We start from the raw sequence: 25,577 nt of genomic DNA, 5'->3' as shown, positions 1-25,577 counted from the left end.
TTATAATGTTTTAAGAAAGTTTATGAATTTGTATTGGGCTGCATTCAAAGCCATCCTGGGTCACATGCGGCCCACAGGTTGGACAAGCTTGCTTTAAAGTCTTGCTACATAGAGGGACTCAGACTATTCAAATGGATGCCATACAGCCATGAAAGAATGCAGGTATCTCAGAATAAGAATATATTGTTCTGGTGAACTGATTATGTCTTTTTAAGATGTCCCCATGTGACTCTGCTCTCTAATGCTGCTCTCAATTTTATATGCCCGCACAGAGATGGTCAAAAAGCCCTATACTATTTGTACTTGTTTTCCTTATGGACTCACCTGCTTATTTCTTTACTTCACTTAGTCAGTTTGGATCCTCAGACTTGAAGTAAAAAACTCCAGAGATTACAAATCCCATCTTTTAGCCATAGTTATGTGCTCTTTTCTCAAATCTGAAGTACTTCTGAATTAAGAGAAATAAGCATTTGTCAATTTCATCATTACTAACCTGCATTTCATATTTCAGAGTCATGTGGAAGCACCAGGATCCCATTCCTACCACTGAAATTAAACAAATGAAAAAAAATTAGCATGAAATTCTTTGTGCGTGGACAGTGACCTGAGAAGACAATAAGACATTTCAAAGCATTGAGTTAAGGATAATGAAGTTTATAAAATCTAGTGGCAAGATATAGCTGACTCTTGAGTAAGTGCTATAATTGGTGAAATTTTGGTGTAGAAAAGAAGTACAATATAAGTTCTCCTAAATTCCCTCTACTAAGTGACTTACTAGACTAACAATATTCCATTATTTCTGTAAAATGTATTATCTGATGCTCAGGATAAGTTTTAATGCACATAGCTGGTTAGCTACTCCTTTGCACTTCTGACCCAAATGGCTAAGGTGTATGCTTACTAAGAGCCAGTCAGTTTGTTCCTGAACTTGTTGATGCCATTGTATTTGGTTATCAGAGCTATGACTGCAAAAAGAGTTGTTGCTTCTCCAAGAACTATTTAAAATGCTTAAAGTAGACTTAATAAAAATGAGTTGCTGGCCGGACACAGTGGCTCGCGCCTGTAATCCCAGCACTTTGGGAGGTTGAGGTGGGTGGACCATCTAAGGTCAGGAGTTCAAGACCAGCCTGGCCAACATGGTGAAACCCCGTCTCTACTAAAAATACAAAAATTAGCTGGTCATGGTGGCAGGCCCCCGTAATACCAGCTACTCGGGAGGCTGAGGCAAGAGAATCGTTTGAACCCAGAAGAAGGAGGTTGCAGTGAGCTGAGACTGTGCCACTGCACTCCAGCCCGGGCAACAAGAGCAAAACTCTGTCTCAAAAAAAAAAAAAAAAAAAAGTTGCTAATAAAAATCATGTTGAATTAGGTGTGGTTGGATATCTGTTACAGACTGGGAAAAATAGTAAAAATCTAAAAAGATTCTGTAGGCAGGGCACAGTGGCTCAGGCTTGTAATCCCAGCACTTTGGGAGGCTAAGGCCAGAGGATCGCTTGAACTCAGAAGTTCAAGACCAGCCTGGGCAACATAGTGAGACCTTATCTCTATTAATACATAAGATAATAATAATAAAATTAAAAAATAAAAAGATTCTGTGTTCATGTCCTAAGTTCTTCCCAAGTGCCTCCATTTTAAATAAACTATTTTCATTTTAGCGTTTTATAAAATGTTTGGTTTTTAAAGCAAAGAGTAAGTAGAACTAAAATTAGGGTCTCTCATTCAATGGTCATGCCCTATGTTAAGTAATTGTCAAAGATTATATACAACAAAAATAAAACTTCAGGCCCAGCCCGGTGGCTCACACCTGTAATCCCAGCACTTTGGAGGCTGAGGCAGACAGATCACCTGAGGTCAGGAGTTCGAGATCAGCCTGGTCAACATGGTGAAACCCCATCTCTACTAAAAATATAAAAATTAGCCAGACATGGTGATACACACCTGTAGTCCCAGCTACTTGGGAGGCTGAGGCAGAAGGATCGCGTAAACCTGGGAAATGGAGGTTGCAGTGAGCCGAGATTGTGCCACTGCACTTCAGCCTCGGCGACAGAGTGAGACTCCATCTCAAAAATGAAAAAACACACACACAAAAAGTTAAAAATTAAACTTCATGTATATATGTATTCAATAATTCTGTGCTTCAATATATCAAAGGTTTAATATCCAAAATTTAAAAAATTCTATGCTTCAACTTAAAAAAATTAACTGATCAAGTATCAGCCCTTATAACATCTAATAAAGCTTTTTTTTCTGATTCAGTTTAGTTCAGAATTTACTGAGTGCATCCTATTTGCCAAATTCAGTTATAGATGCTGAGGTACAAAGATAAGATCCAGTCATTGGCCTTAATGAAACATATAGTCTAATGGAAGAGACAGGCAGATAAACAGAAGGTGCCTGCACATGGACATATGCGTTGAGTACCACAGAAGCACAGAGAAGGAACACTTGTGAAGGAAATCCAAGAATGCAAGAATGATGGTACAGATTAAACTTAAGGATACATAGGACTTAGCCCAACAAATGTAGTGAGTAGGGGCGTCATTAAATAATTTGTATGAAGCCACCTGAGAAAAATTTCAAACTATATGTTATTCTTGCCTTTAAAAAAATCACTAGATTGTAATTTTTACTCCTCAAAATGAAAGGAGGGAAATAAGATAGTTATTGCACTCATCTCATTAGAGAAATAAGGAAGTGGGGTGGTTCGTGCCTTTTTTCCCAAAAAAGTAATTAGAAGGTACAAAGGTGGATAAATTATTCAATGTAAAGGAAAAAAAAAACCTTTAAGTTATTTAAAGTCACACAATAACAATATACTATGAAGTAAAAAAAAAAAAAAAGTGAGATGGGATGATTGTTCATCTTGGTAGAATGGCCACTTTATCATGCCTTACTCAAGGACTGTTTTTATCAAAACCTTTTCAAAGTGTTCTCTTGATACTGTTAAATTATATAGCATTAAAAGTCTGATTTTTTTCCCTGCTTTTGCTCACAGAGCCATTAAACATCTGACTTTTTAGAGATCTCTACAGTTTATTTCCTTTCAACAATCTGGGTAACACATAAAAAAGTATTCTGATGAAAATCTATTCTGGTGGCTACTCAGAGGTTTCAAATTCCTTTCAGGAGAGGGTAGCACTAGGTTTACTCCTCTTTTTTCTTTGTTATTTTCCTTTCTTTTAAAAAGTGCTCTCCTGCAACTGACATTTCTAGACATTTAGAGTCCAAAAACATGTAATAGAACAGCATTCTCTATGCAATATTTTGTATTTTGCCCCTTTAAAGCAAACCACCAAGTTTTGCTGTTTATCAGGTTTCTTGAGATATAATTCACATAAAATCAATCCAAAGTATACAATTCAATTGTTTTCAGTATATTCAGAGGTGTGCAAACATCACCTCAACCTAATTTTAGAACATTTTCATCACCCCTAAAAGAAAGCCTATACCCATTAGCAGTCATTTTCCATTTTCTCTCAACCCCTCCAGCCCTGGGCAATCATTAGTCTACTTTGTCTGTACAGATTTGCCTGCTGGGGACATTACATCTAAGTGGAATCATACATCATGTAGTCTTTTATGTCTAGCTTCTCTTCCTTAAGCATAATGTTTCCAAGGTTCATTTATGTCATCACATGCATCAGTGATTCATCCTTTTTATGGACGAATAATAATATTCCATTATATGAACATACCATATTTTACTTATCCATTCATCAGGTGATGGACATTGCTATGTACTGAATGTTTCTATGCCTGCCTCCCCAACTCCCCAGTTCATATGTTGAAGCTCTAGCCCCTAATGTGATGGTATCTGGAGGTGAGACCTTTGGGAGTTAATTAGGTTTGGATGAGGTCATATGGGCGTGGCATCCCCAGGATGGCATTAGTGCCCTTATAAGAGTAAGACACTGAAGCTTGCTTCTTCTCTTTCCACAGCACAGACAGAGGAAAGGCCATGTGAGACACAGCAAGAAAGTGACCATCTGCAAGCCAGGAAGGAGACGTTTTTTGGTTTTGGTTCCTCACCAGGAACCAAATTAAATGCCACCTTGATCTTGGACTTCCAAGCCTCCAGAACTGTGAGAAATAAATGTATGTTGCTTAAGCCACCCAGTCTATGGTATTTTGTTACGGCAGCCTGAGCTAAAAAAGACATTTAGGTTGTTTCTACATTTTCACTATTATGAACATATTGTATTTCACATATTGTATATGTGAACACTCATATACAAGTTTTTATGTGGACATATGTTTTTATTTCATTCATTCATATATACTTTGGAGTGAGATTTCTGGGTCACATGGTTTAGTATTTTGAGGAAGTGTTTTTTGGAGTGTCTGTACCATCTTACATTCCTATCAGCAATATACTAATTTCTCCACATCTTGCCAATATTTATCACTGGCTGTCTTTGTGATTACAGCCATCCTAATGGATGTGAAGTGGTATTTCATTATCATTTTGATTAGTATTTCCTTAACGAGGACACCATTTGTTTTCAATAAATATTTACTGTGTACTTAATACTCCAAGCATTTCCACTGGGATAAGTGAGTGTACAAGAGAAATATGGTTCCTGTCTCAGAACTTTAAACAAACCATTAAAAATACAAAAAGGGGGCCGGGTATGGTGACTCACACCTGTAAACCCAGGACTTTGGGAGGCCAAGGTGGGTAGATCCCTTGAGCTCAGGAGTTTGAGACCAGCCTGCCCAACATGGAGAATCTTTGTCTCTACAAAGCATACAGAAGGTTAACTGGGTGTGATGGCATAGTCCTGTAGTCACAGCTACTTGGGAGGCTGAGGTGGGAGGATCACTTGAGCCTGGGAGGTTGAAGCTGCAGTAAGCCATGATTGTGCCACTGCACTCCAGCCTGGGTGACAGAGTGAAATCTTGTCAAAAAAAAAGCAAAAAACAAAAAAAAAAACCAACCAAACCACTAAACAAAAAAACATAAAAAAGGGGAGTTATAGAGCTATGAGAATCAATGCAAAGAATAATGTTATTACCTCGTCTAGGGGGTCAAAAGAGGGCTGTCTGAGGAAGTAATATTTAAGCTAGAATTTGAAGAATAAATTGAAATTAGCCAGATGAAAGAATTTTTTTAAAAATGAGATCATTCTATGTAGAAGAGTCATCTAGAATAAAGACAGAGTTTGTGCATTTGAAGAACTAAAAGAGTTTGGCTTAAGCCATGAACAACTTGGTGTAGGGATCCAATGATGAAACTCGCATGCATGGTTTATAGAAAATAGATTAAGAAGAACTTTTAGGCCAGGTGTGGTGGCTCACACCTATAATCCCAGCACTTTGGGAGGCCGAGGTGGGTGGATCACCTGAGGTCGGGAGTTCGAGACCAGCCTGACCAACATGGTGAAACCCTGTCTCTACTAAAAATACAAAATTAGCTGGGCGTGGTGGTGCAAGCCTGTAATCCCAACTACTTGGGAGGCTGAGGCAGGAGAATCGCTTGAACCTGGGTGGCGGAGGTTGTGGTAAGCCAAGATTGCGCCATTGCACTCTAGCCTGGGCGACAAGAGTGAAACTCCATCTCAAAAAAAAAAAAAAAAAGAACTTTTAAAGCGATGTTAAAATCTGATTCAGATTTGGACTTTATCCTAAGGAGAAAGTACAGTTGTTAAAAAATGACACATACACATAGGAATTGATATAATCAGTTTTGCATTTTAAAAATATCACTTGGGTTACAAGGCAGGAAAATGTCTAAAGACTAGTTTTCCAATTTTGATATCAAAAATATTTTTAAGCAACCCCATATATTTATTTGTAAACTATATACAAACTGTGGTGCTAAGATACTATACATTTTAAAACACATAAAATACAACTTTTTAAAAAGTGAGGTAAAGAAGTAACTATATACAAATAGAAGTTTTCTGTCTTGTTTTGTTTTGTTTTTTGAGACAGAGTCTCACTCTGTCACCCAGGCTGGAGTGCAATGGCGCAATCTTGGCTCACTGCAACCTCCGCCTCCCAGGTTCAAGTGATTCTCCTGCATCAGCCTCCTGAGTAGCTGGGATTACAGGCACCCACCACCATGCCCAGCTAATTTTTGTATTTTTAGTAGAGACAGGGTTTTGCCACGTTGGCCAGGCTGGTCTCAACTCCTGACCTCAAGTAATCCACCCACCTCGGCCTCCCAAAGCGCTGGGATTACAGGTGTAAGCCACCGCACCCAGCCACAAATAGAAGTTAAAGAGTTTTCTTCCTGCATCCCAAAAGATTGTTTTCATTCCCTGCAGTGTGTGCATCCTGCTTTAACTGCTAGCTTAAATAATGAATAAACTCCTTGCAAGGCATACATGGAGCTTCATAATTTGGCTCCGCTGATTTCTTCCACTGTAGCTTGTAGTTCAGTCACAGCTGATTGCCTTTGGTCTCTCATCTCACACCATTAACTCGAGTCTGCTTTGCCTTTGCTCATCCTGTGCTCACTCTGTCACTTCTGCCTGGAATACTTACTCTTTCCGTTGCTCAATCCCACTTGCCCCCAACCTGTCTCTCTGTTTATTGGAATCTTATGCAACTTCATGGCTGGGTGCGGTGGCTCACACTTGTAATCCCAGCACTTTGGGAGGCTGAGGCAGGCAGATCACTAGAGGTCAGGAGTTTGAGACCAGCCTGGCCAACATGGTGAAACCCTCTCTTTACTAAAAATACAAAAATTAGCCAGGTGTGGTGACAGGCACCTGTAATTGCAGCTACTTGGGAGGCTGAGGCAGGAGAATTGCTTAACCTGGGAGGCGGAGGTTACAGTGAGTTGAGATTGTGCCACTGCACTCCAGCCTGGGCGATAGAATGAGACTCTGTCTAAAAAAAAAAAAAAAAAGAAATCTTACGTAACTTCTATAGCCATTTTACTGTTTGCTTTTTGTTTCTTTCAAGTTTTTTCTTTTGAAGTAATTTCAAACTTACAAAAATGTTGAAAGAATAGTATAGTAGCTGGGCGCAGTGGCTTACACCTGTAATCCCAGCACTTTGAGAGGCCAAGGTGGGCAGATCACGAGGTCAGGAGTTCGAGACCAGCCTGGCCAACTTAGTGAAACCCTGTCTCTACTAAAAATACAAAAATTAGCCGGGCGTCGTGGCGGGCGCCTGTGGTCCCAGCTACTTGGGAGGCTGAGGCAGGAGAATCCCTTGAACCTGGGAGGCGGAGGTTGCAGTGAGCCGAGATTGTGCCACTGCACTCCAGCTTAGGCGACAGGGAGAGACTCCATCTCAAAAAAAAAAAAAAAGAAAGAAAGAATAGTATAGTGAATTCTTGGATATGTTCTACACATTGGTTCAGATTCACCAATTTTTATCATCTGGCTAATTTTCATATTTATATGTGTGTGTGTGTGTGTGTGTGTGTGTGTATATATATATATAATATTTTTTCTGAACATTTATGAGTAAATTGATACATCATGCCCTTTTACTCCTTAATACTTCAGTGTGTATCCTAGATCCATTTTAAGTGCCATCTCCTAAGTCAAATGTTCATCTGCTTCCTCTCCAGTTAAGTCTACTATACAAAGCATCCAAGAAATAATGTTTGATAAGGCCAGTAGTTATCAGCTTTTGGATCATACTGTTTTGCCCATACAGCTTTTAAAATGCTAGGCCAGTCCAGAAGCTTCTGATTCAGTGGGTACCCTGGTACATGTATTTTAAAGGGCTGTCAATGACTGTTGCCCATGAAAAGCCAAAGACCACTTTTGGATTCTAAGGTTCATAAAGGCATAGTCTAGGTCTCCACAGTTCACTGTCACCAGAAACTTGCCCAGTGCCAGGCATATAGAGAATACTTATTAGGTATTTGCTGAATGGCTGATTTTTTTCCCTTCTCCTTTGGTAATCCAGTATTTCACAAGAAATAGGGCAGAAGAATAGAAGGAAGGGGGAGAAATAAAATAAGGTGCCTGAAATTAGCTCTCTAAAGTGAACCAGATGGGGGAAACTCAGTCACATCTCCACATTTAACAAGAAATCAAGGGAGAATTCAGAAAGCATTTTGGTCACTTTCTCTCTAGTCAATGATGAACTCAAATGCTCTCCAGACACATTAAAATACTGGAAAGAAAAGAAGACCAAGAGGATCAACACTGCTATTGTGAGCCTCTTAAAATGTTTCATTATGTTGACTATATCCACTTCAAGGGAATACTATGATGTGCTTTAATGGAGGAGGGGAGAGTAAAAAAAACCCTTCTAGTTATAAAAATCAGCAAGACACAAAAGTAAAAGAGCAATAAAAATATCCCACCAAAGTTAGCAATTGCTGTATAATTTATTCCCGTTAAGACTTTTATTTATGAATCTTGTGATAAAAAATAAGTTGTAACTTAAGGCTGTACATAAAATTGTTTTTGATAGGATACAGGTACTTTAGAACCTCTGATTTTAGTATATAAATTTTAAAAAGTCAGAGCTGATCCAAAACTTAGGAGAGGATCATTTCATGGTAAGGATATGAATGAAGACAAAATTAGAGGAACCAAATAAAATAATTCAAAAGGCAGAAGTGCAAGTATAAGGCACATATTTAGAATCAAACATATTTTCATTAGATGGGAAGAAAAATGAGGGCAAGTAGAATTTTTAGATCTTAGTAAATTCAGGAAAAGACAGAAAAGATCGTCCATATTATCTTTCTCTCAACAAAACATACTTTCTGTGGTTATAACAAGGCTATCAAGAGAAAACCTCCAAATCAACTTTGGAACTTTTTTCTTCCTTTGTAAATTCTGGGCCTGGCATGGTGGCTCATGCCTGTAATCCTACAACTTTGGGAGGCCAAGACGGGGATTGCTTGAGCCCAGGACTTCAAGACCAGCTCAGCCTGGGCAACATGGTGACACAATGTCTCTACAAAAAATGTAAAAAATTAGCTTGGTATGGTGGTGCACGCCTATGGTCCCAGCTACAAGGGAGGCTGAGGTGGCAGGATCACTTGAACCTAGGAGATTGAGGCTGCAGTGAGCCATGATTGCGCCACTGCTCTCCAGCCAGAGTGACAGAGTGAGATCCTGCCTCAAATCTATATCTATATTTAGATATAAATATAGATATAGATATACATACACACACTTACATGTGTAAATTATATATATATATATATATATATATATATATATATATATATATATATATATATATATATGATCATGTCACTCTCCTGTTTAAAACCCTCCATTGGCTTTCCATTGCTCTTAGAATAAACTTTAGACTCTACTCCGGCTTATGGTAAGGCCCTGGGTGATCTGGCTCCTGCCCAAATCTCTCCAACCTCATATTCTACCACTTTCCCTCTTGACTTCTAAGGCATATTAGGAGAAAGTTAGGAAGCACACAGATAATTACAATATGGTGCACTAAATGCTATAGTGTGCACTGTATTCTGTGGGAGAGCAGAAAAGTCATCTGATCCTAGCAGGAGACTGAGGAAGATTTAAAAGGCGGCTTTCTAGAGAAAGCAGAGTCCTAAGTGATAGCAATGCAGAGTTCACCAGACAAAGAAGGTTAAAGGCAGAAAGGTGAAAATACATATGGTACTGAAAACAGCAAGTAGTTTGATATAGCTAAACTGTTGGGTATATGTGGGAGAGTTACGGAAGACGAACCTAGCAAGGCAGACAGAGTCCAGATTAGAACCCATGTGCCAAGGAATATAGATTTTCAAATAGGTGATCTCACTTAAACAGAAAATGGTTGAATAGAAAGAGGTAGGCAGGGCTGGAGAACAGGTGAAGTTTAGCACCATAGAACAGTTTTCATTACTGACACACTACAATTTATCAGAAAGTACATATTTTCTGAAAAATTATTCAAATCACCACAAATAGGAAAATAAAGAGTGGAGAAGTTATTTAAGTCAAAGGAACAAATGTCAAACGTGAAAACAAAATGGGATTTGTTGGTCCTTAATTTATAAAAATTAGAAATTCTGGAGATAATTTAAAAAAGGAATCTAAGCATTTTTTCTTTCTTTTTCTTGCATGCACACTGATTTAGTCACATGAAGAATAAAACATTTTATTAATATTAGGGTGACTCTTTTAGCCAACATTTCATCATGATGAAGAGCTGCATTTGACTTGCCTGTTTGTGACATCAAAGTTAATATAAAATTCATATCTGTAGAAATTATCCAGCACACTCCACAAAATAAGTAATAGGGATACGTTTCCCCATATGGTCATGTCCAAAGTGAAGACAGATACAATTAAAATAGAAATGAAATTGGAAAAAGGAGGTCAGGGTACCATCTGCATCTTCTAATCAGATGTTCATATTCACACTTTACTATAGTTTTAAGAGTTTCTCAAGTGTATAATAGAATTTCACTCAGTTGGAACCTCTGGATTCAGATATCTTGGCAAACTACCAGCCAAAGTTTTTCAAGGTTACAATAAAACACAAATATGCTCCGATACACATTTATTTTGACTCATCTGATCACACTGGAAATAGTGTACAAGGGTTTTGGGATCAGACCTAGACTAGAATCCCAGATTTATCACTTATTACTAACTTTAGAGAGCTGCTTAAATCTCTTTGAGACTCAGTTGCCTTAGCTATAAAATAAGGATAATATTTGTCATGAAAGGTTGCTATGAGGATTATCTACCATGTGTCTGGCATACAATAGGTATCAATGAATTTTATTTTCTAGTCTAACTCAAACTATGAAAAATTCAGGTACAAAGATGACATAATTAGATTTTGGAAGCAAGTTAGCTTATTTGCCATGACAGAAATTTAAAAGCCCAAGAATTACAAGTTCCTTTTAAATCACATCATGGTTTACCATAATGCATAAGAAGGGACCTAGAATACATGATACAAGGAGAAGGTCATGTTTCCATAAAGTGTCAAGGCATCAGCAGCCTGGTATATGATATAAAATCTACATATTCAGAGGTTTTAGTGTTATTAGTACTATCAAAATAATGCCAACTATGACTTCCAGGGCATGCATGGCTGTAGCTTTCCAAGTGAAGATAGCATTCACAATAGAAACAAAATGCACTATCATATTAGAGGGGTAGTAGAGTGCAGTAATTGAGAGCATGAACCTTGGAAAGTTGTCCTAAGAAGTTTGGACTTTATCCTTATACTGATAAGAAGCCATTTAGGTTATTTAAAAAGAGCGTTTTAAATTGTTCCCCATCTACCCTCAAGGGAACAGATCATTCTCTAATTTATCTGTTAACTAGTATGTAACCTTATTATAGTAACCTACACACCTACACACACACACACACACACACACACACACACACACACACACACACACACACAGAGTGAGCCAGAATGGAGCTACAGCAATAACAGAATGGTAATACCAAAAATGAGACTAGATGTTATAATCTTTTATACCTTTTTTCTTAGAAAATAATTTGTTATTCAATTATTGTCTAATTCTAGCTCCAGCCTAAAACCCTATGAAACATAAGCCACAACTGAGGCCTATAGGAACCACATGAAGAGCCATTGCAGCTGCCTGCTTTCCGCCTTAGGCAATTCTACCAAGCTACGTACCTGGCCATCTCATTTCATTTCCTGTTCACTGACTACATGGGCTACTTAGCTATCTGTGGTTCTGCATCTCTGATTGGTCCTGTCCGTGGGTTTGGGCTACTAGGTTAAACATGTTTATTCCAAATGTAGTTATCTGAAAATCATACTTCCATATGCACAAGTACTGGAGCTATTAACCAAAAAATAAAAATATTATTTCTGTTGGATGATGGGATTATGAATATTTTTCATTGCTTTCCCCACATTTTTCTTCAATGTTACTATTTAGCAGACTAAAAAATAAGAGGTCACTAATATTTTTGACAGATTGGACTAAAAAAGAGAGGGGGAAATAAATGAGCTACTAAGCAAGCTGTAAAATGATTTCCAAAAATCCTTTCCATGGCACATTGATTTGATGCCTATTTCAATACTAAGTGTAATTGCTACAATTTAAAAGTCTATTAGACCAGGATATAGTATGCTAAAGCATCCACTCAATTTCTCCTTGATAAGACGTAAAATATTGTTAAGATCACTTAAGATGACTTTTATTTACTCTGGCAGTGACAGACTATAGATATGATCACACTAAACTTAATTAAGCTTGCTCCATGCAAAGAATTTCCAATGGGCCTTTTCTGATGAAAATCACTTTGGGTCCTGGTGCTTCCCCATGAGGCCCTGCATAGTGCAGTGTACCCTCTCCTCTTGGGAACTGTCATAAATTCCTCTGGCTCAGGGAAGGTGTGTTGTTCATATTTTCATTGCCAGTACCTAAGAATATCAGGCACTGTGAAGGAAAAGAGGGAGAGATGACTGACAAGACACAGGTAGTGTGTATCTCCTCCACAGAGAGGAACCAGAATAGTAAGCAGATACCTTTCAAACAGATTGTCTAGGAGAGAACACTAGGATTCGCCATAGAAGTGACAAGATGCACCAAAAGTGAATAAAGAGAGGGTTCAAGGCAACTTGCCTAGCCAGGGACTGACTGAAAGCCTGGGGAGGGTCCTGGATGTAGAAAAACAAGAAGAGAGAAACCCTCTGAGTTCCACACTCCAAAATGGGCTTTTACAATCTTGGCTAGGGAGAACCCCTCAACCCTTGCGGGCCTCAGGCCTGACACAGAAAGCTACCTGGAGATTGCCCAGAGATGTTGCTCCAGAAAGGGAATCAACGTGAAATCCCACAGGCATCCAAGCCTAGACCAGCGTTGGCTAAATGCCATTGTGACAGCCTAGATATCAGGAACCTACAGATGAAGCTGCTGATGCTACGCTGCTCCAAGGAGGGGAGGGGAGACTGGGTGCTCCCATGTACCCCTGGGAGGGTCCTTACTGCCCTGCTTGTGGCTACTGTTGAGACTGAGATGCAGGTGGACCACACTCTCCAGAGCCTCTAGCTCACACTGCTTACCTGGAAGGGGCCCTGCCCTACCTAGTCCCCACCCTAGGCACCATATTGAGAGTTTAATGCTGGGCTGTGCTCCACCCTCAGGCTGAGTTTGGGCTGATGTGGCTGCAGCCACCACCTGGCCAAGGAGTGACAGAGAAACTAAGCTCTCCTACTCATACTTAGGACAATACCCACCACCCTGCTACAGACTGCTGTGAAACTGAGACTCAAGCAGATCGTACTCCCCACAGCTTCTTGCCCATGCTGCCTTCCTAAGATGCACCCTTCCCTCCTGGGTTGCAGGTCCAAGGCATCATTTAGAAAGTTTAATGCTGGGCTGTGCCTTGCCCTTGGGCTCAGTTTGAGCTGATAAGGCTGCATCTCCTGCCTGGCTGAGGAGGGACAGGGAAATCAGGCTCTCTTACATGTACCAAGGATAATACCCACTGCTCTGCTACAGACTGCTGTGAGACTGAGACTTGAGCAGAACACACTCCTCACACTTGCCCATGCTACGCACCTGAGAGGGGCCTTGCCCTCCCTGGTCACAGGCCCCTGCTAGCACCATTTTGAGAGTTTAATGCAAGGCTGTGCCCTCAGACTGAGTTTGAGGCTACTCGGCTGCAACCACCAACCAGCCGAGGGAGGCACAGGGAAAACAGACTCTCCTGCTCATAACTAGGACAATACCTATCACCCTGTTTCAGGCAGCTGTGGGACTGAGGACTAGCCTGCCCAACCCATCACAGCTACTAGCAACACCAGCAAAGACCACGTGGCTCCCAGTGGATTGCTCCACTACCACTATTGCCATTACCCATATCACACCAGCTGCCCAGGAGTTTGAGAACCTGCCCACATACCTGGAAGCTGTACTTCCACTCCTAGCTTCTAAGCAAGTGAAGTGCAGGCCCAAGAATCAGCCCTCCAGTACCCACTAACACTGGTGCCAGCGTATGCTGCTTTGGAGACTAAAAACTGACACACAGCCTACTTCTGCCACCAGTGGGGTATGAATACTGGCTCAGCGGGTGTCCAAGCCCCCAGCAAAACTTCACCACAGCCTCATCTAACTATACCCTAAGCCACAGAGGAAATAACAGATACCACTGAACCCGTGTACTGCCAAAGAAGTCATACAAAGATCACACTACTGCAGGCACCCAAAATCAAAGCCAAAGCATCCTATTCAACCAACAACATATATCTATCTTCAGGAAAAAATTCTGCCCTGCAAAAGCAATTTCAAAAAATTGGAACAAGTGAATACTAAACCAGATGTTTAGATATCAACGGAAGGACATGGGAAACATGAACAAGCAGGAAACTGACACCATCAGAGGACCACAACAGTTGTCCAGCACCAGATCCCAACCAAAAATAATGCCAGATAAAAAATTCAAAATATTGATTTTGAAGAAGCTCCATGAGATACAGGAGAAATCTGAGAACCAATACAAATAAATCAGAAAAACAATTCAGGATATAAATGAGAAATTTACCAAAGAGATAAATATCTTAAACAAAAACCAAAGAGAAATTCTGGAAATGAAAAATCCATTGAAAAAAAAACAACAAAATACATTTAAAAGCTTCAATAATAGACTAGACCAAGCAGAAGAAAGAATCTCAGAACTTGAAGACAGGTCTTTTGAAATAATCCAATCAGACAAAAATAGGGGAAAAAAATAATAAAAAAGAATGAACAAAGCCTTCAAGACATCTGGGACTACATAAAATGACTGAACTTATAAATTATCAGTATTCCAATGGGGAAGAGAGATCAAAAAGTTCAGAAAACATATTTAAGGAAATAGTCAATAAAAACTTTCCAAGTCAAGCAAGAGAGTTAGACATCCAGATTCAGGAGGTCCAGCAATCCCCAGGCAAATACACTGCAAAGAGGACATCACTATGGCATATTATATTCAGAATGTCAAAAGTCAAAGTAAAAGAAAGAATTTTAAAATTAGTAAGAGAAAAGCATCTAGTCAATATAAAGGAAACCCCATCAAACTAACAGCAGACTTTCTAATAGAAACCTTACAGGCCAGAAGAGAATGGAATGGCATTATCAAAGTGCTGAAAGAAAAAAGAATCAGCCAAAAATTTTATATCCTGCCAGAATAAGTTTCACAAATAAAGGCAAAATAAAGTCTTTCCCAGAGAAGCAAACACAGAGAGAATTTGTTACCACTAGACTGGTCCTTCAGGAAATACTCAAAGGAGTCTAAAACATGGAAACGAAAGGTCAATAACCACCATCCTGAAAACACATGAAAATATAAAACTCATAAGTCTTATAAAACAATTGCACAAAGGAGGAAAAGAATCAAATGTGAACACAATAGAATTTCATTAAACCACAAAGACAAAAAGACAACTAGAAAACAATTAACAATGGACAGGAACAAAGCCTCACATATCAATATTAACCTTGAATGTAAATGGATTAAATGATCCACTTAAAATATATAGATTGACAGAATGGATTTTAGAAAGCATGATCCAGCTATATCTACATACAAGAAACTCACCTTACCTATAAAGACACATATAGACTGACAGTAAAGGGGTAGAAAAAGACATTCTATGAAAACAGAAATCAAAAGTGCACAGGAATAACTATACTTATATCAGATAAAATAGACTTTAAATCAAAAACAGTAAAAAAAAAAAAAGGACAAAGGTCATTATATAATGATAAAGGTATCAATTCTGCAAGAGAATATGACAATCTTAAATATATATGCACCCAACATCAGAGCACCCAAATTCACAAAACAAGTATTATTAGACCTAAAGAAAGAAGTATACAGCAATATGATAATAGTGGGGGGGGGGGTCTTCAACACATCACTGACCGCACTAGATAGATCATCAAGATAAAATTAGCAAAGAAACATTGGACTTTAGACCAAATGGACTTTTCAGATATTTACAGAACATTCTACCCAACAACTACAGAATATATATTATTTTCATCACCACATGGAACACTGTATAAGATATACCATGTTAGGCCACAAAATAAGTCTTAAAATTTTTAAAAAAATCAAAATCGTATTAAGTATCTTCTCAGATCACAGTGGAATAAAGCTAGAAATCACTACCAAAGGAACTCTGGAAACTATACAAACACACAGAAATTAAACAACATGCTTCTGAATGATCGCTAGTCCAATGAAGGAAGTAAGATAGAAATTTTAAAATCTTTTGAAATAAATGAAAATGGAAACAACACACCCAAACTGGTGGTATACAGCAAAAGCAGTGCTAAGAGGGAAGTTGATAGCATTAAATCCCTACATCAAAAAAGTAGAAAGATCATAAATTAACAATTCATGTCACACCTCAAGGAACTAGAAAAACAAGAACAAACCAAACCCAAAGTTAGCAGAAGAAAAGAAGTACAAAGATAAGAGCAGGAATAAATGAAACAAACAAAAAAAGCAAAGGATCAACAAAATGAAAAGTTGGTTCTTTGAAAAGATAAACAAGATTGATAAACCACTAGCTAGACTAACCAAGAAGAGAGAAGATCCAAATAAAAATCAGAAATGAAAAGGGAGACATTACAATTGATACCACAAAAATACAAAAGATCATCAGAGACTATTATAAACAACTATTCACTCTGCCTAGAGGAAATAGATAAATTCTGGGAAACATACAACCTCCCCAAACTAAACCAGGAAGAAATGAAACTCCTGAATAGATCAATAATTACTAGTGAGATTGAATCAGTGATTTAAAAAAAATCTCCCAACAAAACAAAGTCTAGGAGTAGATGGATCCACAGCCAAGTTCTACCAAACATACAAAGAAGAACTAATACCAATACTCCTGAAACTAACCCAAAAAATCAAAGAGGAGGGAATTCTTCTTAATTCTACAAAGCCAGAATCACCATGATACCAAAACCAGACAAGGACACAAAAACAAAAAAGAAAACTACAGACCAATATCTCTGATGAACATAGACATAAAAAACCTCAACAAAATACTAACAAATCAAATCCAACAGCACATCAAAAACATAATACACCATGATCAAGTGGCATTTATCCCAGGGAGGCAAGGATAGTTAAACATATGCAAATACAAAAATCAACATATGCAAATCAATAAATGCAAATCATCACATAAAAAGAATGAAGAACAAAAACCATATGATCATCTCAATAGATGCAAAAAAAAATCCATTAAAACTCAACATCCTTTCATAACAAAAATCCTCAACAAGGCATAGAAGGAACATATATCAACATAATAAAGGCCAGATACAACAAATCCATAGCCAACATCATACTTAATGTGGAAAAGTTGAAAGCATTCCCTCTAAGAACTGGAACAAGACAAGGATGCCCACTTTCACCACTCTTATTCAATATACTGTGGAAGTTCTAGCCAGAGCAATCAGGCAAAAGAAAAAAATAAAAGACATCCAAATTGGAAAAGAAGAAGTCAAAGTAGCCCTGTTTGCTGACTATATAATCTTATATCCAGACAATCCTAAAGACTCCACCAAAAAAACTCTCAGATTTGATCAATGAATTCAGTAAAGTTTCAGGATACAAAATCAATGTACATAAATCAATAGTATTTCTATAAACCAACAATGATCTATTGGAGGGCCAAATCAGGAAAGCAATTCCATTTATAATAGTTAAATAATGATAATGATAATAATAATAAAATACCTAGAAATATATTTAACCAAGGAGATAAAAGAGCTCTACAAGGAAAATTACAAAACACTGATTAAACAAATTGTAGAGGACACAAACAAATGGAAAAACATCCCATGCTCATGGATTGGAAGAATTAATATCATTAAAATGATCATACTGCCCAAATCAATCTACAGGTTCAATGAAATCCCTATCAAAATATCATCATTTTCCACAAAATTAGAAAAAACCTATTCTAAGGTTCATATGAAACCAAAAAAGAGGCAGAATAGCCAAAGCAATCCTAAGTGAAAGAGAAAAGAACAAGGCTGAGGCATCATATTGCCTCAAGTGAAAAGAACAGGCTGGAGGCATCATATTGCCTGACTTCAAACTACACTGCAAGACTCTGTCTCAAAAAATAATAATAAATAAAAATAAAAAATTAAAATTATCTAATTAATTTCTGTCTCCCCATGCTAGACTATAAGCTCCAATGAACACTGGTTTTGAGAATTATAACTAGCACATAATAGATATTCAGTAAATATTTTTCAAATAAATTTTAAAATGACTAAATTCTTAGTGGATCTATGCTCTAAACCAGAAACCTCATAAATTATTGTCTGTTTCTGAAATATTTCTCCACAAAGCCGAAATTCCCACTTCTTTCTACAAAATCTCTTTCAACACCAACAACTAAGTGCATATCAGTTAAGCAGTTGTTATGGGGTTTTGTCAAAAAATAAAAAACTGAAAATCTTGTTACGGTATTCAGCAAATATCCTTGATTTGAAATAAAATCTCTGTTTCCAGGTAAAGTTGTGTTCCTCTCTCTTCTCCCCTTCTCTTCCCTGCTTTCTGTGTGCGTGTGTGTGTGCGTGTGTGTGTGTGTGTGTGTGTGTGTGTTTATACACACACATATTTGGTGGGGAGACTTAACTCAGTGTAAAATTCAAACAAGAATATAAGAAGTTTTAGCAAAATTTGCCTAATGTTTAGAGGTGTTTAAAATAAAGCATTCATTTTTTTCATTCACTTATCCATCGAACATTCCCATGTGTTTAGTTTGTACCAGGTATTGCTGAATGCAGAAAATCCAAAAGAATAAAACTCAACCCTACTTTTAGGAAGCTTCGTCTTATAGAAGGGACGGATACTTAAAAACAGATTATGACAGTACCACATACAGTGATATAAGTGCAATCCAAAAAGTAAGAATAAGGTATAGAAGTAGCACAGAGGAAGAAGTCATTTACCACCACAGTTGGTGGATAAGAAGAGAAGGATTGTTAAGTCAGAAAAATACTCCTATAATCGCTACCCACTTCTGTTCCTAGCTTTACTTATTCCAAAACTCTCATTCATTGTTAAGTTGCTTGGTATACTATAGACTATACATACTATTGTCTATATGTACTTATAGCTGATGATAGTATACCAATAAATCTTTTAAAATGTTCAACAATTCTTTTAAAACAATTACACATTTTATTTTAAAAATATTTTAACCCATTTCCCATTTAGAAAAAAAAGTTACAAAAGTATTACAATGAACTCCTATACAACCTTAAATTAGGTTTACGCATTATTAACATTTTGCATTTTATCTTTATCTCTCAATATATTTAAAAAGTTGGCTGGGTGCGGTGGCTCATGCCTGTAATCCTAGCACTTTGGGAGGCTGAGGTGGGAGGACTGCTTGAGGCCAGGAGTTGAAGGCCAACCCAGGCCAACATAGTGAGAACCCATCTCTATTTAAAAAAAAAAAATTTAAGTATCTAAAATAAAGCAATAAACATATTGTTATTTTGCTCAACTATTTGAAAGTAAGTTGCAGAGAGCATGACTCTTTACCTCTAAATACTTCAGGATGTATCTCCTAAGCATGGACATTCTCTTACATGATCATATTATAATAAGCAAATTCAGGAAATTTATCATTAATGTAGTATTACTATCTATTATAAAGTCCTTATTCAACTTTCACTGATTCATCCAATATTGTCCCTGTAGAGCTTCTTCCCCTCATGCCCCAACCCAGAATCTAATCTGTGATTACATATTGCATTTAGCCGTCTTGTCTCTTTTAATCTGGAACAATTCAAGATGAATTATTTGTTTTTCATGACACTAACATTTTAGAAGCACACAGGACAGTTGTTTTATAAATTGCTCCTCAATTTGTTTTTTTCTGGTTATATTCTCTTAATTTCATTCAGCACTTTTGGCAATAATACTGTATAATGATGTTTCCTTTTTGGTATATCACACCAGGAAGAACCTGCTGTCAGTTTGTACCTTTGTTTTTGTTTGTTTGTTTTTAGAGATAGCATCTCACTCTGTCACCCAGGCTAGAGTGCAGCAGCACAATCCTGGCTCACTGCAGCCTCTACCTCCTCGACTCAAGGAATCCTCCTGCCTCAGCCTTCTGACTAGTTGAGACTACAGGCATGCACCACCATGCCTGTCTAATTTAAAAGATTTTTGTTTTGCAAAGACAAGGTCTCACTATGTTGCCCAGGCTGAATGTACCATTATTAATGCGGTTAACTTTGATTACTTGAAAACAAGATGGTATCTGCCAGATTTCCCCACTGTTAACATTCTTCCCTTTGTAAATAATGAGTAATCTGTGAGGAGATACTGTGAAGTTGTAATTATCTTGTTGACCAAACACTCTGACCAAATAGTTTTATATTCACTGATGACTCTTGCCTAAATCAGTTATTTTATCATTCTGTTTACATTTATTAGTTGGCATTCTACTTTTTTTAAGCTTTCTCTTCTCACCCCATTTGTGTTTTTTAGAATCATAGGAACTCATGGATTTTTTTTATACCACATGTTAAAATCTATTACTGTTATTTTTCAGATTATTAAGTTCAGATTGTCCTGGTTTGGCCAAACTGCCTTCTGTGTTACTTTGACATGATTCCTTCATTTTTTTTAGCACTTTCTTACTTTCTGACAAGATGTTCCAGGCTTATCTTGTACTTTCCCTGCCTTAGCCCAAAAATGGGCCACTTCTCCACGAAGTTTTGGTTCCTTTCAGTGCAGAAAGACTTAAAAACCAAAGTCTAGCACTATTAATAGGTATGTTCATTGCTACTAAGCCGTCATTGCTCCCAGGCCCTTTCAGACAATAGAGCATTTGAAATCAATAAAAAAAATCATGCTGATACCTCTAACTCCAATCCAGTACCACAGGGTTTTTTCCTTGCCTTCGCTCATCCAAATCTGTATCTCCCTTCTTCCACAGTGAGAATCCTAGCTCCTAACAATATCAATATAGGTTTTCAAGGCCAGACATGCTGGCTCACACCTGTAATCTGAACACATTGGGAGGCTGAAGCATGAAGATTTCTTGGGGCCAGGAATTCAAGACCAGCCTGGGCAACATAGGGAGACCTGTTTCTACCAATAAATAAATAAGTAAGCCGGGTGTAGTGGTGCGCACCTGTAGTCCCAGCTACTTCAGAGGCTGAGGTGGAAGGATTGCTTCAGCCTGGGAGGTTGAGGCCGCAGTAAGCCGTGATAGTACCATTGCATTCCAGCCTAGGTGACAGAGCAAGACCCTGTCTCAAAAAAAAGTTTTTCATTTGCTTTTCTAATGCAATGGGTCAAGCCTGTAATCTCAGCATTTTGACAGGCCAACGTGAGCGAATCGCTTGAGCCCAGGAGTTCCAAACCAGCCTGGGCAACATGGTGAAACCCCATCTCTACAAAAAAATACAAAAATTAACCAGGCATGGTGATGCATGCTTGAAGTCCCAACTACTAGGAAGACCAAGGTGGGAGGATTGTTTGAGCCCTGAGGTCAAGGCTGTAGAGAGCCGTGATTGCACCACTGCATTCCAGCCTGAGCAGGAGAGTGAGAACCTGTCTCAAAACAACAACCACGACAAACAAACAACCCCAAAAAACAAAATCCTAAGATGCATACAAAGACAGCTTCAGAATTGCTATACCCATACCACTACCAACAATAAACATATAGTAAATAAACGTAGGAAAGCGAGGTTTTCTTTTGTTTTCAGATTGAGGATATGTAATAATAATACTATTTCAAAAGTTAATCAGATTTAGTCTGGATAATCTAGTTACATTTTTGAATATGTGAAATAATAACATACTTTTGAAATAAAAATACAAACATACATACTCAGAAGTGTCACTCTCTCCTCTATCTTTTCCACACCATTTCTATCCACCCCCTGCAGTAGACAGTTTCATTATTTTCTGGTTCATCTTATTTCTTTTTGAAAAAATAAGTAATGTGTATATTTTCTTTTTACTAGCAAAAAAGTTGTATACCAACTTTTTAAATATTATTTTACATTCTCATCTTTTACTTACTTAACATATCCATATCAGTTCAGTGACACTTCTCATCCTTTCTACATCTTCATAGTACTTGTGATGTACATATACCAGTTTATTCAACCAATTTTTGTAAGTCTGTTCACATTATTTTGTAATTACAAATACTACTACAGTAACCTTGTGTACATTTAATTTTGAACTGTTGATGGCATATCTTCACAGTAAATTCTTAGAAGTGTGATTGTTGGGTCAAACGATAAATGCATATATAGTTGTCAGATATTGCCAAATTCAGCTTCAAAAACTTTGTGTTCTCATCAGCAATGCAAGAAGAATGCCTATTTCTCCCACAGCCTTGCCAAAATAGTGTTGTCAAGAGTCTGACACTTTGCCCATCTAATAAATGAGAAATAATGTATCAGTGTAGTTTTCATTTGCATTTCTCTTATTAAGTAAACTGAATATTTTTTCTTATACTTGTGAGCTATTTTTTATATCTTTCTTGGAGAATTTTCTGTATTTGACCACGTTTTCCTATTGAATTTTTCATCTTTTTATAATTCAATGCTTAAAATTATTGGCCGGGCACAGTGGCTCATGCCTGTAATACCAACATTTTGGGAAGCTGAGGTGGGCAGATCACTTGAGGTCAGGAGTTCAAGATCAGCCTGGCCAACATGGGGAAATCCCATCTCTACTAAAAATACAAAAATTAGCTGGGCATGGTGGTGCACTCTGTAATCCCAGCTACTCGGGAGGCTGAGGCAGGAGAACTGCCTGAACCCAGGTGGGGGAGGGTGCAGCAAGCAAATATTGCACCACTGCACTGTAGCCTGGGCGACAGAGCGAGACTCTGTCTTAAAAAAAAAAAAAAGAAAGAAAGAAAGAAAAGAAAAATTGTATATTAGGGATATTAAACCTTTTCTTGTGAATATTTTTACCATGTGGCCTTTTGCTTTTGAGTTTGCTTATGCTATTTTTTGTCATGCAAAAGCGACTTTATTTTTTAATACAACGTAAATGTTATATAACAAAAGTTTTTTTTATTTTACATAATTTGTCAACCTTTTCCTTTCTTATACCTGAATTTTGAATCATAGAAAGTCTTTTCCCAAAGATTCTTCCCCATGTAAGAATGCACACACGTTTTCTCCTAGTAGTTGGAAGATTTTTATTTTTACTTTTAGCCTTCTTATCAATTTAGAATTTATTCTTATGTATAAGGCACACATCCAATTCTTTTCCTCAGCATCATTTATTAAAACACATCATCTTTGCCCCAGTGACTAGAGATGTCATCTTTATTAATACTAAACCCCAATATAGGTTTGGGTCTATTTCTGTACTTTTTAAAAACTCTACTGTATGGTCTATTGGAATATCAGTGCTATACTATTCTAATTCGAATCTACTCTTTGCCTGCCACCATCCATGTAAGAAGTGACTTGCTCCTCCTTGCTTTCTGCCATGATTGTAAGGCCATGATTCCCCAGCCATGTGGAACCGTAAGTCCAGTAAACCTCTTTTTCTTCCTAGTCTTGGGTATGTCTTTATCAGCAGCATGAAAACAAACTAATGCAGGGTGTTTTGTTGTTGTTTTAGGAATTATTTTTGCATTAAGCCTTTTTCAGTACTCATGACTGGATGGACATTCTAGTACAGTGTGGCTGGTAGAACTTTCTGCAGTAATGAAGATGTTCTATATCTGCACTGCCCAATATAGTAGTCACAAGCCATATGTGGGTATTGAACACTTGAAATGTGGCTAGTGTGACAAAGGAACTGAATTTTACATTTTATTTAAATGTAATTAATTTAAATTGCAACATATGACTAGCAGCTACTAAATTGAACAGTGCAGTAATAGTAGATTCATCAGGAAGCAGTCATGTGTACAGTATTCAATGAGTATTTGTAGGTTTAAAACTGTTTTTCTATAACTAGAGCACCTAGAGAACAACCTGGTTGGAATATAAAATACTTGGCTTATACTTCCTCTTCATTTTTTTAGAAAATGCTGCTCCACTGGTATTTTCTTTGTATATTACTGATAAGGTCTGATGCCAGTCTAATTTTCGGTCCCTTGTAAGTAATCAAGGCTTATTTCCAAGAGCTTTGACAATAATTTCATTTTTACAATCCAATAGTTTTACTAGGCTCTATCTCAAAATTGATCATTCTAAATCAGTTTACCAGGCAAAATTGGACCTTTCAATATACATATTAAAGTCTTTTTTCATTTCTAGAAAGTTGTCTTGAATTATAATTTTAAATATAATTATGTTCCACTGGTTTCCCCCATGCCACCTAGGGACTCCAATTATATGCACGTTGGATCTTTTCTGCTTGTCTTCCATTTCAATCCTTTTCTCTCTGACCCTTTTTATTTCTTTATCTCCTTTTAATTTTCTTGCTTGTTTCTCTGACTTTCTACAACAGCCCCTATTAAATATTCAGTAGACTCTACTCTCCCTCAAGCACACTGTAATTTAGTCTTAATTTCTTTATTAAGTTCGATGAATTCTAATTTTGTTTCGTCTTTTTTGAGGAGAGGAATTGAGCTATTTCTGTTATTAGTTTTTAAATTTTTGATTCATTTCTTTGTTTGAGGCAACTTAATTCAGTTAGGAGTATTGTATTACATCTTCCTTCTGTTTCACAGTTTGTTGTGGAGAAGAAATTCTATCACGCAAATGGTTTTGATTCTCATTTTCTGTTTTTACCCTAATTTTACATGGAAATAGGCTGCATGTTGGGGGGTCTATTTTATAGAGAGAGTAAAGATTTTAAGTGGCTTACAAGATTTCTAATTCAATCCCTCTCCTTCTCCCTCTCCGTCTCCCCACGGTCTCCCTCTCCCTCTCTTTCCACGGTCTCCCTCCCTCTCCCGTCTCCCCACGGTCTCCCTCTCCCTCTCTTTCCACGGTCTCCCTCTGATGCCGAGCCAAAGCTGGACTGTACTGCTGCCATCTCGGCTCACTGCAACCTCCCTGCCTGATTCTCCTGCCTTAGCCTGCCGAGTGCCTGCGATTGCAGGCGCACGCCACGCCTGACTGGTTTTCGTATTTTTTTGGTGGAGACGGGGTTTCGCTGCGTTGGCCGGGCTGGTCTCCAGCTCCTAGCCACAAGTGATCCGCCAGCCTCGGCCTCCCGAGGTGCCGGGATTGCAGACGGAGTCTCGTTCACTCAGTGCTCAATGGTGCCCAGGCTGGAGTGCAGTGGCGTGATCTCGGCTGGCTACAACCTCCACCTCCCAGCCGCCTGCCTTGGCCTCCCAAAGTGCCGAGATTGCAGCCTCTGCCCGGCCGCCACCCCGTCTGGGAAGTGAGGAGTGTCTCTGCCTGGCTGCCCATCGTCTAGGACGTGAGGAGCCCCTCTGCCTGGCTGCCCAGTCTGGAAAGTGAGGAGCGTCTCTGCCCGGCCGCCATCCCATCTAGGAAGTGAGGAGCGTCTCTGCCCGGCCGCCCTCCCATCTAGGAAGTGAGGAGTGCCTCTTCCTGGCCGCCATCCCATCTAGGAAGTGAGGAGCGTCTCTGCCCGGCCGCCCATTGTCTGAGATGTGGGGAGTGCCTCTGCCCCGCCGCCCCGTCTGGGATGTGAGGAGCACGTCTGCACAGCCGCGACCCCGTCTAGGAGGTGAGGAGCGTC

The 25,577-nt window shown here is 38.3% G+C and overlaps 1 protein-coding gene and 1 long non-coding RNA gene across 13 annotated transcripts in view, besides 3 other annotated features; one reads left to right on the top strand and one right to left on the bottom strand.

The window, feature by feature from the left end:
- ACER3-AS1 (ACER antisense RNA 1) overlaps positions 1 to 3,979 on the top strand; it is an 80,139-nt gene extending 76,160 nt beyond the window's left edge. For all 4 annotated transcript variants that reach the window (XR_007062792.1, XR_007062790.1, XR_007062791.1 and 1 more), the window contains 2 exons: positions 512 to 691; positions 3,940 to 3,979. This is a non-coding gene — a long non-coding RNA (ACER antisense RNA 1). The remainder of the gene's footprint in view (positions 1 to 511; positions 692 to 3,939) is intronic.
- ACER3 (alkaline ceramidase 3) overlaps positions 1 to 25,577 on the bottom strand; it is a 165,880-nt gene that overhangs the window by 67,273 nt on the left and 73,030 nt on the right. For 7 of the 9 annotated variants that reach the window (XR_007062489.1, NM_018367.7, XM_011545151.3 and 4 more), the window contains one exon: positions 494 to 546. The exons of 1 other annotated variant lie outside the window; for it this stretch is intronic. Coding sequence is in view for 6 of the 8 variants with exons in the window: in NM_018367.7 (NP_060837.3) it covers positions 494 to 546 (53 nt within the window). In the remaining 2 variants the exon portion in view is untranslated. Of the gene's footprint in view, positions 1 to 324; positions 449 to 493; positions 547 to 25,577 lie in introns of all 9 variants that reach the window. One more of the 9 variants, NM_001300954.2, reaches the window with a different exon arrangement.
- Positions 12,496 to 13,284: an enhancer, noted in NCBI's record as "H3K27ac hESC enhancer chr11:76657285-76658073 (GRCh37/hg19 assembly coordinates)". NCBI's record gives its function as "activates a minimal SCP1, AML or CMV promoter by ChIP-STARR-seq in naive and primed H9 embryonic stem cells {active_cell/tissue: H9 hESC(naive and primed)}" and the evidence as "EXISTENCE:reporter gene assay evidence [ECO:0000049][PMID:30033119]".
- Positions 13,285 to 14,073: an enhancer, noted in NCBI's record as "H3K27ac hESC enhancer chr11:76656496-76657284 (GRCh37/hg19 assembly coordinates)". NCBI's record gives its function as "activates a minimal SCP1, AML or CMV promoter by ChIP-STARR-seq in primed H9 embryonic stem cells {active_cell/tissue: H9 hESC(primed)}" and the evidence as "EXISTENCE:reporter gene assay evidence [ECO:0000049][PMID:30033119]".
- Positions 16,826 to 17,327: an enhancer, noted in NCBI's record as "NANOG hESC enhancer chr11:76653242-76653743 (GRCh37/hg19 assembly coordinates)". NCBI's record gives its function as "activates a minimal SCP1, AML or CMV promoter by ChIP-STARR-seq in primed H9 embryonic stem cells {active_cell/tissue: H9 hESC(primed)}" and the evidence as "EXISTENCE:reporter gene assay evidence [ECO:0000049][PMID:30033119]".

This window comes from Homo sapiens, chromosome 11 (assembly GCF_000001405.40).
Source record: "Homo sapiens chromosome 11, GRCh38.p14 Primary Assembly".
NCBI classification, from domain to species: Eukaryota; Metazoa; Chordata; class Mammalia; order Primates; family Hominidae; genus Homo; species Homo sapiens.
Note: the sequence above shows the minus strand (reverse complement) of the source record. Positions and strands in the feature narration are given on the sequence as shown.